A 14,504-nucleotide genomic window follows, 5' to 3' on the forward strand; every position below is an offset into this window, starting at 1 on the left:
TGTGTTTGGGGAGGGATTCAGGAATTGGAACAAGTCAAGTGTTTACCAGCCTGCTTATTAAGAGGACAAATCTTATTAAAAGTAATGGAATATGGCTGGAAAAGGAAGATAGCTTAAGGAGAAGCAATGTGGAGCTTAAGGAGAATGGTGGTAGAAGCGTCAGTAATATCTCTGCCATTTTAGAACAGAAATATTCTCATAGTCTTCAGAAAGGCCTGGAAGTTTGGTGAGGGGTAGTGTCAGGAGCTAGCCTTTTCCCAGTGCTTCCTTGGGCTCTCTGCCATGTTGAGTTCTTAGCATACCTCATGTGATTTAATTCTCATATTCATCCTGCAAAATGTGTGACATCACTGTTTTACAGCAAAGGAAGCTGCAATTCAAAGAGGTTAAGTGACTCACCCAAGAACCTCTCAACTCATTAGAGTACAGAGAAGGAATTGGAACCCAGTTCTCTTTTTACTCCAAATCTGTGTTCTTTCTGTTGTTATCAGAACTCTGTGACAAAAGGCCCTGCACTTAAATATGTGTTTTGAAATTATCTATCTTTGCAACAGAAGGCTGCTCTCCTTCCATTTTTTAAAAAAATAATTTATACCCTCCATTGTTCCAAAAAGATACATGGTTGCTACAGAGAAAAGTGAGAATCTGTCCAGTTATTTCTCATTTAAGAGAACTCAAATCCTTCTGCATTATGTTAGGCCTTTTGGAATAGAGCTATGGAAACAAGTGTTCCTAGCCATCAGTAAAAGAATACAAGTGCGGGCCGGGCGCGGTGGCTCACGCCTGTAATCCCAGCACTTTGGGAGGCCGAGGCGGGCGGATCACGAGGTCAGGAGATCGAGACCATCCCGGCTAAAATGGTGAAACCCCGTCTCTACTAAAAATACAAAAAATTAGCCGGGCGTAGTGGCGGGCGCCTGTAGTCCCAGCTACCTGGGAGGCTGAGGCAGGAGAATGGCGTGAACCCGGGAGGCGGAGCTTGCAGTGAGCCGAGATCCCGCCACTGCACTCCAGCCTGGGCGACAGAGCGAGACTCCGTCTCAAAAAAAAAAAAAAAAAAAAAAAAAGAATACAAGTGCGGGTCCAGAATAGGCAAATACGTAGAGACATAAAATACATGAGTAGTTCCTTAGGGCTGGAGGAAGTGGGGTTTGAGGTGATAGCTAAAGGGTATAGGGTTCCTTTTTGAGGTGACAGAAATGTTCTAAAATTAATTGTGGTGATGGTTAAATAACTGAATATACTAAAAACCATTACATCGTACACCTAAAAAAATAAAAAGAATACTAGTATAGACAAGGCAGATAACCCAGAGTGTAACAAAATATTACCAACTTCTGGGTGGATAGCAGCTGCACCAAGGTCTAAAGAAGCTTCTGGGTTTCACTCCAGGGTGTGTGTGTGTGAGTGAGTGAGAGAGAGAGAGAGGTGTGTGTGTGTGTGACAGGATGGAGAGGGTGGGAAGGGTCTTTCAGGCCAGAGACTGGCAGGAGGGTCCTCTCCAACCTTAATTTCTTGGTGGGACTCAGCTCTGTCAGACCTGAAGGTACCCTTAAGAAACAAGTATGGCGTAGGTATGTAAGAGACAGAGAGAGTAATGAGCAAGCAATTGAGCGCATAAGCTGTCTAACGTTTTATATCTTGTATGGCCATTTGACACCCTTTAAGCAGTGTTTTGTAAGCATTAAATCTTCTAGCTTTCCAGCTGCATGTTTATACTGGCTAACCCTGCTTTCCTTTGTTTGTAAATCAAACTCATTGTGGGTGCGGGTATTTTTAGCCTAACTAGACGTCCCAGAAACCATCTGGTCTCTTGGCAGTGGAAATTTTAAGCAAGTTGCTTTTCAGACAGTGCTGCTTTCTCTTGTTTATGCCTTCATTATGTGTTCAGATAGACAGAGCTTTCCTAGATGTTTTGAGTCTGTTCTATGGCAGAGTAGAGTAAGTTAGATCAGTATGCTGTGGTGCAAAGAGCACAGGCCTTAGAACTATACTGTAGGTTTAAATAATTCACTTCAGCTGTGTGAACTTGGAAAGATCACTTCTCTCATTTCTCTGTCTATGAATTGGGGATGATGACACCTGTGTCATAGAGTCTCTGTGTGGATTAAATGAGATACAATATATTTCAAACACTTAGCACAGTGCCTGACAGATAATGGGTTTCTAATAAATGTTGATGTTTTCTTTCTTTTCCTTAAGGGATAGAAAGAGGTTATTTCTGCACACATTTTTATGTATTTATAAGAAATTTCTTTAATATATCCACTGTATGCCAGGCACTGTGTTAGGGTTTAGGAATACAGAAAAGGACTCCGTACAAAAGAGGAAGGAATACTTACCGCCTCCATTTTTTTTTAGTGAGATTATTGTTTGGGCACTTTAAATCCTAAGAACATTGTCAGGTTTATTGCTCTTGACTATTCTGCTCCAGCATTTTGAAGACTCCTTCCCTGACCAAATGCTACAATAACAACAATAATATTATCTGGGTATTATGTTTATGTTTTATATAATATTTTTACATTCATGATTTTAGTGACTGTTAGTGTCCACATTTATACTGCATGTTGCTAGAAGTACTGCTTGATCTTTTCAGTAGTGCCATGGTAATAAAACACCTTTCTTGCTTTATAATTTAAATATATCTCACTATTTCTTAAAAGATACTTTGCCTGGTGACATGAGCAAAATTGGCAGAGCAGGGAACTCCAAAAGCCTTCCATAAAAGCAATAATAATTGGCAAAAACAGCCAACATCAACTTTATTGGAACTCTGGAAACTAATCAAAAGTTTACAGCAAATAAGCAGTGTCTCAATCTAGAAAAAATGCACGTGGCTGAGTTTGGTGACTCATGCCTGTAATCCTAGCACTTTGGGAGGCTGAGGTGGGAGGATTGCTTGAGCTCTGGAGTTTGAGACTAGTGTGGGCAACATAGCGAGACCTTGTCTCTACTAAAAATTTTAAAAATCAGCCGAGCATAGTGATACATGCCTTTGGTTCCAGCTACTCAGGAGGCTGTGGTGGGAGGATCTCTTGAGCCCAGGAGATAGAGGCTTCAGTTAGCCATGATCACTTCATTGCACTCCAGCCTAGGCGATAGAGTGAGACCCTGTCTCAGAAAAAAAAAAAAAAAAAAAAGAGGAAAAGAACACTGGAATCTTGGCATCTAAGGAACTCTGTCAGATCACTAACTGACCACTAAGCTAACAGAACAGAGAATTCATTGGCCACATATGACAAAAAATAGACTTTATAAAATCAGTTCAAAAAAGTCACTGAACAAATAACAGCTATAACAGACAGCAACAACAAACCCAGGGGTGGGGAGAGAATCTGATTTTCATAGTTGCCACCTTATAATATTCAAAATGCAAAAAATATGAGGCATAAGAAACAAGAAACAATGACCCATACACAGGAAAAAAGAAACTGATAGAAACTGTCCCAAAGGAAGCCAAGACATTTGACATTTTTAATGGGGACTTTAAATCATATCCTCAAGAGCTAAAGGAACTATGGGCAAAGAACTAAAGGAAACCATGAAAAACAGTGTCCTAAGTAGACAGTATCAGTAAAGAGATAAAATTATAAAAAAGGAATCAAATAGAAATTCTGGAGCTGAAAAGTACAGTGACAGAACAGATTTGAACAGGCAGAATAATTAGCTAATTTGAATATAGGTCAATTGAGATTATCCAATCTGAGAAACAGAAAAAAGAATAAAGAAAAATAAACAGAGCCTAAGAAATCTGTGAAACACCATTAAGTGTACCAATATACACAAAATGGTAGTCCCAGAATGAGAGAGAAAGGGGCAGAAAGAATATTTGAAGTAATAATGAGCAAACACTAATCAAATTTAATGAAAGACATAAGTCTACACATCCAAGAAGTTCTGTGACTCCAAAGTAGGATAAAGACATCTACACCAAGACATGTTATAATCAAACTGTTGAAAGCCAAACAGAATACTGGAAATAGCAAAGATCACAAATCACTATACCAGATATAATAATCATGAAAAAGTTTGAAATATTGTGAGAATTACCAAAACGTGACACAAGAGACAGGAAGTGAGCACATGCTGTTGGAAAAATGATGCTGATAGACTTGCTTGATACAGGGTTGCCATGAATCTTTAGTTTGTAAAAAAAATGCAATATCAGCAATGTGCAATAAAGCACAGGACAAAAAAGAAAGGGTTGCCTGTATAAGACCTAGAAAATAGCAGAAGTCCTTCTTTATCAGCAATTACATTAAATGTAAATTGATTAAACTCTGCAATTAAGAGGAGGAGATTGGGAGAATGGACTTAAAAAAGAAATGATTGAGATATATGCTGAGACACACCTTAGATCCAAAGACAGAAATAGGTTGATAGTGAAAGGATGGAAAGATATTTCATGCAAACAGTAAACAAGAGAGCTGGAGTAACTATACTAATATCAGACAATATAGACTTCAGGTTAAAAATTGTTACAAAAGACAAAGAAATACATTATATAATGATAAAAGGATCAACTCAACAAGAAGAATTCTTCTCAAGTGCACATGGAACATTCTCCAATATAGACTGTATGTTAGACCATAAAACAAGTCTCAATATATTTTAAAAGGTTGAAATAATAACTGTATTTTTGACCACAATGGAATGAAACTAGAAATTGATAGGAAGAAAACTGGAAAATTAACAAATATGTGGAAATGAAACAACACGTTCTTTAAAACCAGTGAGCCAAAGAAGAAGTCACAAGAGAAATTAGAAAATACTTTGAGAGGAATGAAAATAAAAACCTTCCTGGATATATACACCCTCTTAAGACTGAACCAGGAAGAAATTGAATCCCTCAATAGACCAATAATGAGTTCTGAAATTGAGGCAGTAAGGAGTAGCCTACCAACCAAAAAAGCCCAGGACAAGACATTCACAGCTGAATTCTACCACAGGGACGATGATGAGTTGGTGCCATTTCTACAGAAACTATTCCAAAAAATTAAAAAGGAGGGACTCCTCCCTAACTCATTCTATAAGGCCTGCATCATCCTGATACCAAAACCTGGAAGAGATACAACAAAAAAAGAAAACTTCAGGCCAATATCCTTGATAAACATCAATGCAAAAGTCCTCAATAAAATACTGGCAAACCAAATCCAGCAGCACATCAAAAAGCTTATCTGTCATGACCAAGTAGGCTCCATCCCATGTGTTAATCTTTTTTCACACTGCTATAAAGAACGGCCCGAGACTAGGTAATTTATAAAGAAAAGAAGTTTAATTGACTCAGTTCCATGTGGCTGGGGGAGGCCTCAGGAAACTTACAATCATGGCAGAAGTCAAAGCAGGCACCTTCTTCACAAGGTGGCAGGAGGGAGTGAGTGAATGAATGAAGGGGGAAGAGGCCCTTATAAAACCATAAGATCTTGGTCAGAAGCAATGGCTCACATCTGTAATCCCAGCACATTGGGAGGCTGAGGTGGGTGGATTACTTGAAGTCAAGAGTTCAAGACCAGCCTGGCCAACATAGTGAAACCCCATCTGTACTAAAAATACAAAAATTAGCTGGGTGTGGTGACATGCACCTGTAATCCCAGCTACTCCAGAGGCTGAGACATGAGAATCGCTTGAACCTGGGAGGTGGATGTCACAGCGAGCCAAGATTGAGCCACTGCACTACTGCCTGGGTGACAGAGCAAGATCCCACCTCATAAATAAGTAAATAAATGAAACCATCAGATCTCATGAGAACTCACTATCACGAGAACAGCATGGGGGAAACCACCCCCATGATTCAGTTACCACCACCTGGACTCTACCTTGACACATGGGGATTATGAGGTTTATAATTCAAGATGAAATTTGGGTGGGAACACAAAGCCTAACCATTCCACCCCTGGCCCCTCCCAAATATCATGTCCTCACTTTTCAAAACACAATCAAGCCTTTCCAACAGCCCCCCAAAGTCTCATCTGAGATAAGGCAAGTCCCTGCTGCCTATGAGCCTGTAAAATCAAAAGCAAGTTAGTTATTTCATAGATGCAATAAGGGTATAGGCATTGGGTAAATACACCGATTTCCATTGGGAGAAATTGGCCAAAATGAAGGGGCTACAGGCCCCATGCAAGTCTGAAATCCAGCAGGGCAGCTAAATCTTAAAGTTCTGAAGTGATCTCCTTTGACTCCATGTCTCACATTCAGGTCACACTGGTGCAAGAGGTGGGCTCCCAGGGCCTTGAGCAGCTCTGCCCCTGTGGCTTTGCAGGGTACAGCTCCCTTCCCAGCTGATTTCACAGGCTGGCATTGAGTGTCTATGGCTTTTTTAGGTACATGGTGTAAGCTGTCAGTGGATCTACCATTCTGGGGTCTGGAGGAAGGTAGCCCTCTTATCACAGCTCCTCTAGGCAGTGCCCCAATGGGGACTCAGTGTGGGCATTTCCCTTCCACACTGCCCTAGCAGAGGTGCTCCAGGCTCCACCGCTGCAGCAGACTTCTGCCTGGACATCCCGGCATTTGCATACATTCTGTGTAATCTAGGTGAAGGTTCCCAACCCTCATTTCTTCACTTCTGTGCACCTACAGGCCCAATACCACATGTAAGCCACCAAGGCTTGGGGCTCGTACTCTCTGAAACAATGGCCTGATCTGTACATTGGCCCCTTTTAGCCACGGCTGGGGTGTGGGCACCAAGAGACTTCACAAAGCAGCAAGGCCCTGGGCCCAGCCCACGAAACCATTTTCTCCTCCTAGCTTTCTGGGCCTGCAGTGGGAGGGCTTGCTGTGAAGACTTCTGACATGCCGTGAAGACATTTTCCCCATTGTCTTGGCAATTAACATTTGGCTCCTTATTACTTATGCAAATTTCTGCAGCTGAGTTTTTGTTTTCTATTGCTCCGTCAGACTGGAAATTTTCCAAACATTTATGCTCTGCTTTCCTTTTAAACATAAGTTCCAATTCCAGACCATCTCTTTGTGAATTATGGGGATTATAATTCAAGATGAGATTTGGGTGGGGACACAAAGCCTAATGATGTCACCCGAGATGCAAGGGTGGTTCAGCGTAGGCAAATCAATAAATGTGATTCTTCACATAAACAGAACTAAAGACAAAAACCATATGATTATCTCAATAGATGCAGAAATGGCCTTCGATAAAATTCAGCACCCCTTCATGTTGAAAACTCTCAATAAACTAGATATTGAAGGAACATACCTCAAAATAATAAGAGCCATATATATGACAGACCCACAGCCAATACCATTCTGAATGGGCAAAAGCTGGAAGCATTCCCCTTGAAAATAGGCACAAGACAAGGATGCCCTCTCTCACCACTCCTATTCGCCATAGTATTGGAAGTTCTAGCCAGGGCAGTCAGGCAAGAGAAAGAAATAAAGGGTATTCAAATAGGAAGAGAGGAACTCAAACTGTCTTTGTTTGCAGATGACATGATTCTATATCTAGAAAACCCCATTGTCCCAGCCCAAAAGCTTATTAATCTGATAAGCAGCTTCAGCAAAATCTCAGGATACAAAATCATTGTACAAAAATCACTAGCATTCCTATACACCAGTAGCAGGTAACCAGAGAGCCAAATCATGAATGAACTCCCATTCACAATTGACAAAAAAAGAATAAAATAGGAATATGGGCTAACAAGGGAAGGCAGGATCTCTTCAAGGAGAACTACAAACCACTGCTCAAAGAAATCAGAGATGACCCAAACAAATGGAAAAACATTGCATGCTCATGGATGGGAAGAATGAATATCATTAAAATGGCTGTACTGCCCAAAGCAATTTATAGATTCAATTCTATTCCCATTAAACTACCATTGACATTCTTCACAGAATTAGAAAAAACTATTTTAAAATTCATATGGAACCAAAACCATTTAAAATTCATATGGAACCTGAATATTCATGACAATTCTAAGCAAAAAGAAAAAAGCTGGAGACATCACACTACCTGACTTCAAACTATACTACAATGCTACTTGTAACCAAAACAGCCTGATATTGATACAAGAACAGACAGACCAATGGAACAGAATAGAGAATCCAGAAATAAGACCACATACCTACAACCATATGATCTTAGATAAACCTGACAAAAACAATGGGGAAAGGATTCCCTATTTAGTAAGTGGTGCTGGGAGAACTGGTTAGCCATATGCAGAAAACTGAAACTGGACCCCTTCCTTACACCATATAAAAAATAAAATCAACTCAAGATGAATTAAAGACTTAAATGTAAAACCCAAAATTATAAAAACCCTAGAAGAAAATCTAGGCAATACCATTCAGGACCATAGGCATGGGCAAAGATTTCATGACGAAGATGTCAAAAGCAATTGCACCAAAAGTAAAATTGATGAATTGGATCTAATTAAACTAAAGAGCTTCTGCACAGCAAAAGAAACTGTCATCAGAGTGAACAGACAACCTATGGAATGGGAGAAAAATTTTTGCAATCTATCCATCTGACAAAGGTCTAACATTCAGCATCTACAAGGAACTTAAACAAATTTACAAGAAAACAAAAGCCACCCCAGTAAAAAGTGGACAAAGGATGAATAGACACTTCTCAAAAGAAGACATACATGTGGCCAACCAGCATATGAAAAAGAGCTTGACGTTACTGATCATTAGAGAAATGCAAATCAAAACCATAATGAGATACCATCTCACACCAGTCAGAATGGCTATTATTAAAAAGTCAAAAAACAACAGATGCTGGCAAGGTTGTGGAGAAAAAGGAACACTTCTACATTGTTGGTGGGAGTGCAAATTAGTTCAACCATTGTGGAAGACAGTGTGGTGATTCCTCAAAAACCTAGAAGCAGAAATACCATTTGACCCAGCAATCTCATTACTAGGTATATACACAAAGGAATATATATCATTCCCTTATAAAAATACACGCACATGTGTGTTCATTGCAGCACTGTTCACAATAGCAAAGACATGGAACCAATCTAAATGCCATTCAGTGATAGACCGAATAAAGAAAATGTGGTACGTATACCCCCATGGAATACTATGCAGTCATTAAAAGGAACAAGATTATGTCCTTTGCAGGGGCATGGATGGAGCTGGAAGCCATCATTCTCAGCAAACTAATGCAGGAACAGAAAACCAAACATCACATATTCTCATTTATAAAGTGGGAGCCGAATGATGAGAACTCATGGACACATGTGGGGAAACTGGGGAAACAACACACACTGGGGCCTGCAGGAGAATGGGGGTGGGAGGAGGGAGACCATCAGGAAAAATAGCTAATGGATGCTGGGCTTAATACCTAGGTGATGGGATGATCTGTGCAGCAAACCACCATGACACAGGTTTAGCTATGTAACCTGCACATCCTGCGCATGTACCCCTGAACTTAAAAGTTAGAAAAAGGTAAAAATTAAAGAAAACCTGTACATCAAAACTTACTGAATGTAATGAAAGCAGCGCTCAGAGGGAAATTTATAGCTGTAAAAGCCTACATTATAAAAGATCTAAGACTAAACACACAGAGTAGACTAAACACAGAAAACAAAAGGAAAGAAATAATAAAGATTACATTTAAGATTAACAGAGAATAGGAAAACAGTAGAATGAATGAAACCCAAAAGTTGGGTCCTTTGGTAAGATCAACAAAATTGACAAATTTTTAACGACTGGTCAAGAAAAAAAGAGAAGACTCAAATTACCAAAATTAGGAAGAAAAATGATGACATTACTGTTATTACAGAATTAAGAAGGATTATAGACAAATACTATGAACAATTTTAATGCCAACAGATTAGATAATTTAGATGAAATGTACCAGTTCCTAGAGTGAATGTAATGAAATGCACCAATTCCTAGAAACTCGTAAAGTACCTGAGGAAGTTGAAAATCTGAATTGACCTATATCAAGTAAAGAGGTTGAACCCATAATAAAAAAAAAAAAATCCAACAATAAAAGCCGAGGGCCAGTGGCTTCACTGGTGATTCTATCAAACAACTAAAGAAGAATTAATGTGAATCCTCACACTCTCCCAAAAATTAAAAGAATAAATATTCTATGAGGTAAGCATTACCCTGATACCAAAGTCAGACACATATTTCATAAGAAAAGTAGAGGCCAAGATCTCTTCGGAATATAGATAAAAATTCTTCAGCAAAAATACTAGCCAACAAAATCCAGCAGCATTTTTTTAAAAGAATTATATACCATGACCAAGCAGGATTTATTCCAAGAATGCAAAGGTGTTTCAGCATACGAAGATCAATGTAATGTACCATTTTAGTAGAATGAAGGGGAAAAAAGCTCAGTAGACACGCACAAAAAGTGACAAAATCTTATACCCTTTCATGAGAAAAATGCTCAACATGTAGGAAAATAAGAGAACTTCAGTCTTATAAAAGGAATCTATAAAAAACCCACAGCAACATCATACTCAGTGGTGAAAGAGAAAACTTTCCTCCCAGTAGCAGGAACAAGATAAATGATGTCTACTGTTGCCACTTCTGTTCAACATTGTACTGGAAATTCTAGCCAGAAGAATTGGGCAAGAAAAATAAAAGGCATCCAGATGGCAAAGGAAGAAGTAAGACTATCTCTGTTTACACATGACATGTTAATCACAAAAAATCCTAAAAAATCCATGAAATAATTGTTAAAGCTAATAGACAAATTTTAGCAAAGTTGCAAGATACAAGCTCACCACACAAAAATCAGTTGCATTTCTATACACTAGCAGTGAACAACCCAAAAAGGTAACTATGAAAACAATTCAGTTTACAATAGCATCAAAAAATAGAATACTTATGAATAAATTTAACCGCAGTAGTGCAAGACTTGTATGCTGAAAACTACAAAACGTTGCTGAAAGAAATTAAAGAAGATCTAACTAAGCAAAAGACTTCCTGTGCTCATGGATTAGAAGACATAATATTGTTAAGATGGCAATACTCTTGAAGTCGTTTTACAGATTTAGTGTAACATCTATTAAAATTCCAATGATCTTTTTTGCAGAAATGGACAAACATACCAAAACACATATATGAATTTTCAGAGGATCCCAAATAGTTAAAACAATCTTGAAAAAAAAAAAAAAAGAACAAAGGTGGAAGACTCACAACTCCTGATTTCAAAACTTACTGCAAAGTATAGCAATCAAAACAATGTGGTACTGGAATAAGGGTAGACATGTAAATCCATGGAATAGAGTTGAGAGTCCAGAAATAAACCCATACATCCATGGTCAACTGATTTCCAACAAGGGTGCCAAGACCATTCAGTGGGGAAAGAACAGCCACTTTACATATGGTGCTGGTATAACTGGATATCTACATGCAAAAGAATGAAGTTGGGCCCCAACCTCATACCACATACAAAAATGAACTCCAGATGGATCAGAGACCTAAATGTAAGTGCTTAAACTATAAAACTCTTAGAAGAAAACAGTTGAGGAGTTCAGTTGTATAATAACTGATCTCTTACAGCACTTATGCTACAGAGTGGTGGACTTCAGTGGCTAGACGCTCCTTTCAGTGAAGGTTGTCTTTTGATCAATCTGTCTCTAATGCTTTGCACAGTTGGTGGTCAGTAAGAAGTCTGTTGGTCAAATATGAATAGGAGAGATAATGACAATTTCAGCTACACTGAAGTTTAGCAAAAAGATTTTAGATTGTCAGAATTTTTTTTTTTTTTTTTCTTCATTGCATGTTTGGTCACTGCAAGTGTGTTTCCTCCCTGGGCCTTTTCTTTTGCCAAAATGGAGTTTATGGGGCATGTGAAGATGTTCTCCCCAGCTACAGGTAGTTGTCATTTGTGTATCTGATAACGTAGGCTTGAAAACAGTGACTTTCAATTTGACTGTTTTACACCTGACAAAATGGATTTATAGCCTGTTTTTAAAAATTAAGTTATTTCTTAATTATGTAATATTTGGAACTTAAGGTCTAGATCCCGCCTCAGTTTGAATACCTCTAACGGCCTGGAGCTCAGTGTCTTCCCAGGCAACTATCGGTGAACTGCTCTATTGAAAGTTAAAAAAGTCTTTCTCAGGTTGATCAGAAAATCTTTTCCTCTTGGTGTCTGCTTGTTTTGCCGATGGAATCACACCAAACAATTGATATATTTGAAGTAACAATGCTGTCTCTCTCAACAATGCTGTCTCCCTTTTTTCTAACCCAAGGTATATATTATTTACCACAGCATTTTAATCTGCCATACAGTATACTTCTGGGTGGCTTATGCCACTGACAGTTTCTGTGACTTCTAGGGATGCAAATGAATATCAATATTTTTAAAAGTAAACTACCAATCAAGCTGACTTTTACACAGCTGCTTTTATAGGGGGATGTTGAAATTTTCCACCTGCTCCAAAATGTATTTCCCACTAGATAGTACAACTTTCACATCTTTCATTTGGGTTAAATGTTGAGTTTCTTGGTAAAGTGCAAGCACGTGATACAGGCTGGCCACCTCTTTCTCCTATTAACACTATGTGGCCATAAGATATAGGATGGGAGGGTTTTGAATGGGAGGAATAACACAGAAATACTGGAATAGAAGCCCTTATGAGTGGGTAGGACATGCTACCCCCTCTACTTACTAGAGATGTAGGGAGAAGAGAGGCACCTTGGGAAGGTACCTTACCTCCTTTACAAGTTTTCTCCAAGCTAATGCTGGCATAGTAAAACTCTGAAAACAAGTCTTTTGCTACAAAAGAGTAGATATGATGCGTTCCATTCCAAAGCTAAATCGAATCATTTGAAGAAATAATTTCTGTTTGAGATCATCTGCATAACTATGTGTCCACCTTGACTTACGGCATATTCCTGTTTATCCTTTGAAATGAACATGCTACAGGAGGACTTTTCCAACCCAGATCTCACTTCATCCCAGGTTATGAAGAACTCTCTCCTTTATGCCGTTTCTGCTTCCTATGCATACTTTTTTTTGTTGTGCCCTTTCACTGTATTGTATTTATTTGTCCACTGGACTCTGATTCCTTGAAGATCTAGACTGTGTCTCATTCTTCTCTGTATTCTCAGTGCCTGGATAATGGCCATCAGTGTCTGGCATACATATAGTAAGTATATGATACATGCTTGGTGAACAGACATATATTTAGGCAAGAGTTGAGGAATGGGGAAACAAAGGCGAGTGAGAAATTAAGTGTCCCTACTTGTTTCTGGGGCAGGTGACAGTCATCTGCACATAATTCTAACATAGATTCACATATGATCCTGGGACAACTGTTAATAGATACCCACATACAAAAGGATAAAGTTGGACTCCAACTTCACACCATTTTGAGTTAAAAAATTTAACTCAAAATGGACCAAAGACCTAAACTTAAGAGTCAAAATGATAAAACTCTTAGAAGAAGACACTTGGGAAGTTTAGTTGCATACTAACTGCTGTCTTATGGTACTTACTATGCTATAGTGTAGTGGACTTCAGTATAGAATCCAAGTACTGTGGAGTTTGGTTTGGGTTATAAACTCAATGTCATAAAGACAAAAATCATGTGTTCTTTAAACCTCTGAAATCACTAGGATTTAGGCCTTTGAAAGCTCAAATGTAATGGATTAAAGGAGAGACTACATTTAATTTTGACTCTGTACATAGAGATCTAATGCACTGCTGTGCATTTTTGTAAGTACTTCAATATTTGTGCTTGATGTAGATTGAAGAGAGGTTTGGGTCTAATAAAAAGAAAAATCTGTTTGTTGTAAAGGTGATTTAACATTGTATCCACCCTATTAAGGATAGTGAAGTATCTACATCTCTCTAAGCATGTTCAAAATAGCCACTGGTTCTGCCTCCTTTTGGCAGGGTCTAGTTTGGAAACAAAATCTTGAACCAAATATCCTCTCTGGAGCACTGTCTTTTGGCAGAATTTCTATTCAGAATGTATTTTGTTAATAAATTAACTCATTTTCTATTGTAGCTGCCCAAGGGAATTCTTTCCTGGTGAGTGGCTTAGAAAGCAAAAAGATATTGTCATCCTTTTTCCTTACCTATATATGGACTAATTTTGACTACTCGTTTTTTATTTATTCTTTTTTAGGAAGCTAAACTCCAAGGTGGAAAGGAGTCAGAGCTGTAGTGACACAGCCCAGGAAAGAGCGAAGAGCAGAGTCAGAGCAGTTCCAGGCAACAAAGCCAAGGTACACCTCAGCCACAGACCTCCGGGGCTTGTGAGGCTTGCCCCATCACCCCCTCTGCACATGGTCATGAAATAAACTATTCCAGAAGAGAAGAAGCAGAATGAGCCCAGGCATACTAGTTATATTGGAGAAGTCCACAAACAGATGTGAAGGAAGAAAGTTTGAATTAGTAGCCAGATGGGTAGAATTAGGGCTACTAGAGAATCCCCCCTTCTTTTTTTTTAAGAGACAGAGTCTCACTCTGTTACCTAGGCTGGTGTGCAGTGGTGCAACCATAGCTCACTGAAGCCTCAGACTCCTGGGCTCAAGTAGCCTTTCTCACCTCAGCCTCCCAAGTAGCTGGG

General features: G+C 38.9%; 1 protein-coding gene across 3 annotated transcripts in view; it reads left to right on the top strand.

Annotated features, from left to right (window-relative positions):
• Nucleotides 1–14,504, top strand: part of RNF169 (ring finger protein 169) — a 93,565-nt gene that overhangs the window by 71,767 nt on the left and 7,294 nt on the right. For all 3 annotated transcript variants that reach the window (XM_011544889.4, NM_001098638.2, XM_047426707.1), the window contains exon 5: nt 14,061–14,160. In XM_011544889.4, coding sequence (XP_011543191.1) covers nt 14,061–14,160 — 100 coding nt within the window. The remainder of the gene's footprint in view (nt 1–14,060; nt 14,161–14,504) is intronic.

The sequence above is a fragment of the Homo sapiens genome, chromosome 11 (genome assembly GCF_000001405.40).
Source record: "Homo sapiens chromosome 11, GRCh38.p14 Primary Assembly".
Classification (NCBI taxonomy): Eukaryota; Metazoa; Chordata; class Mammalia; order Primates; family Hominidae; genus Homo; species Homo sapiens.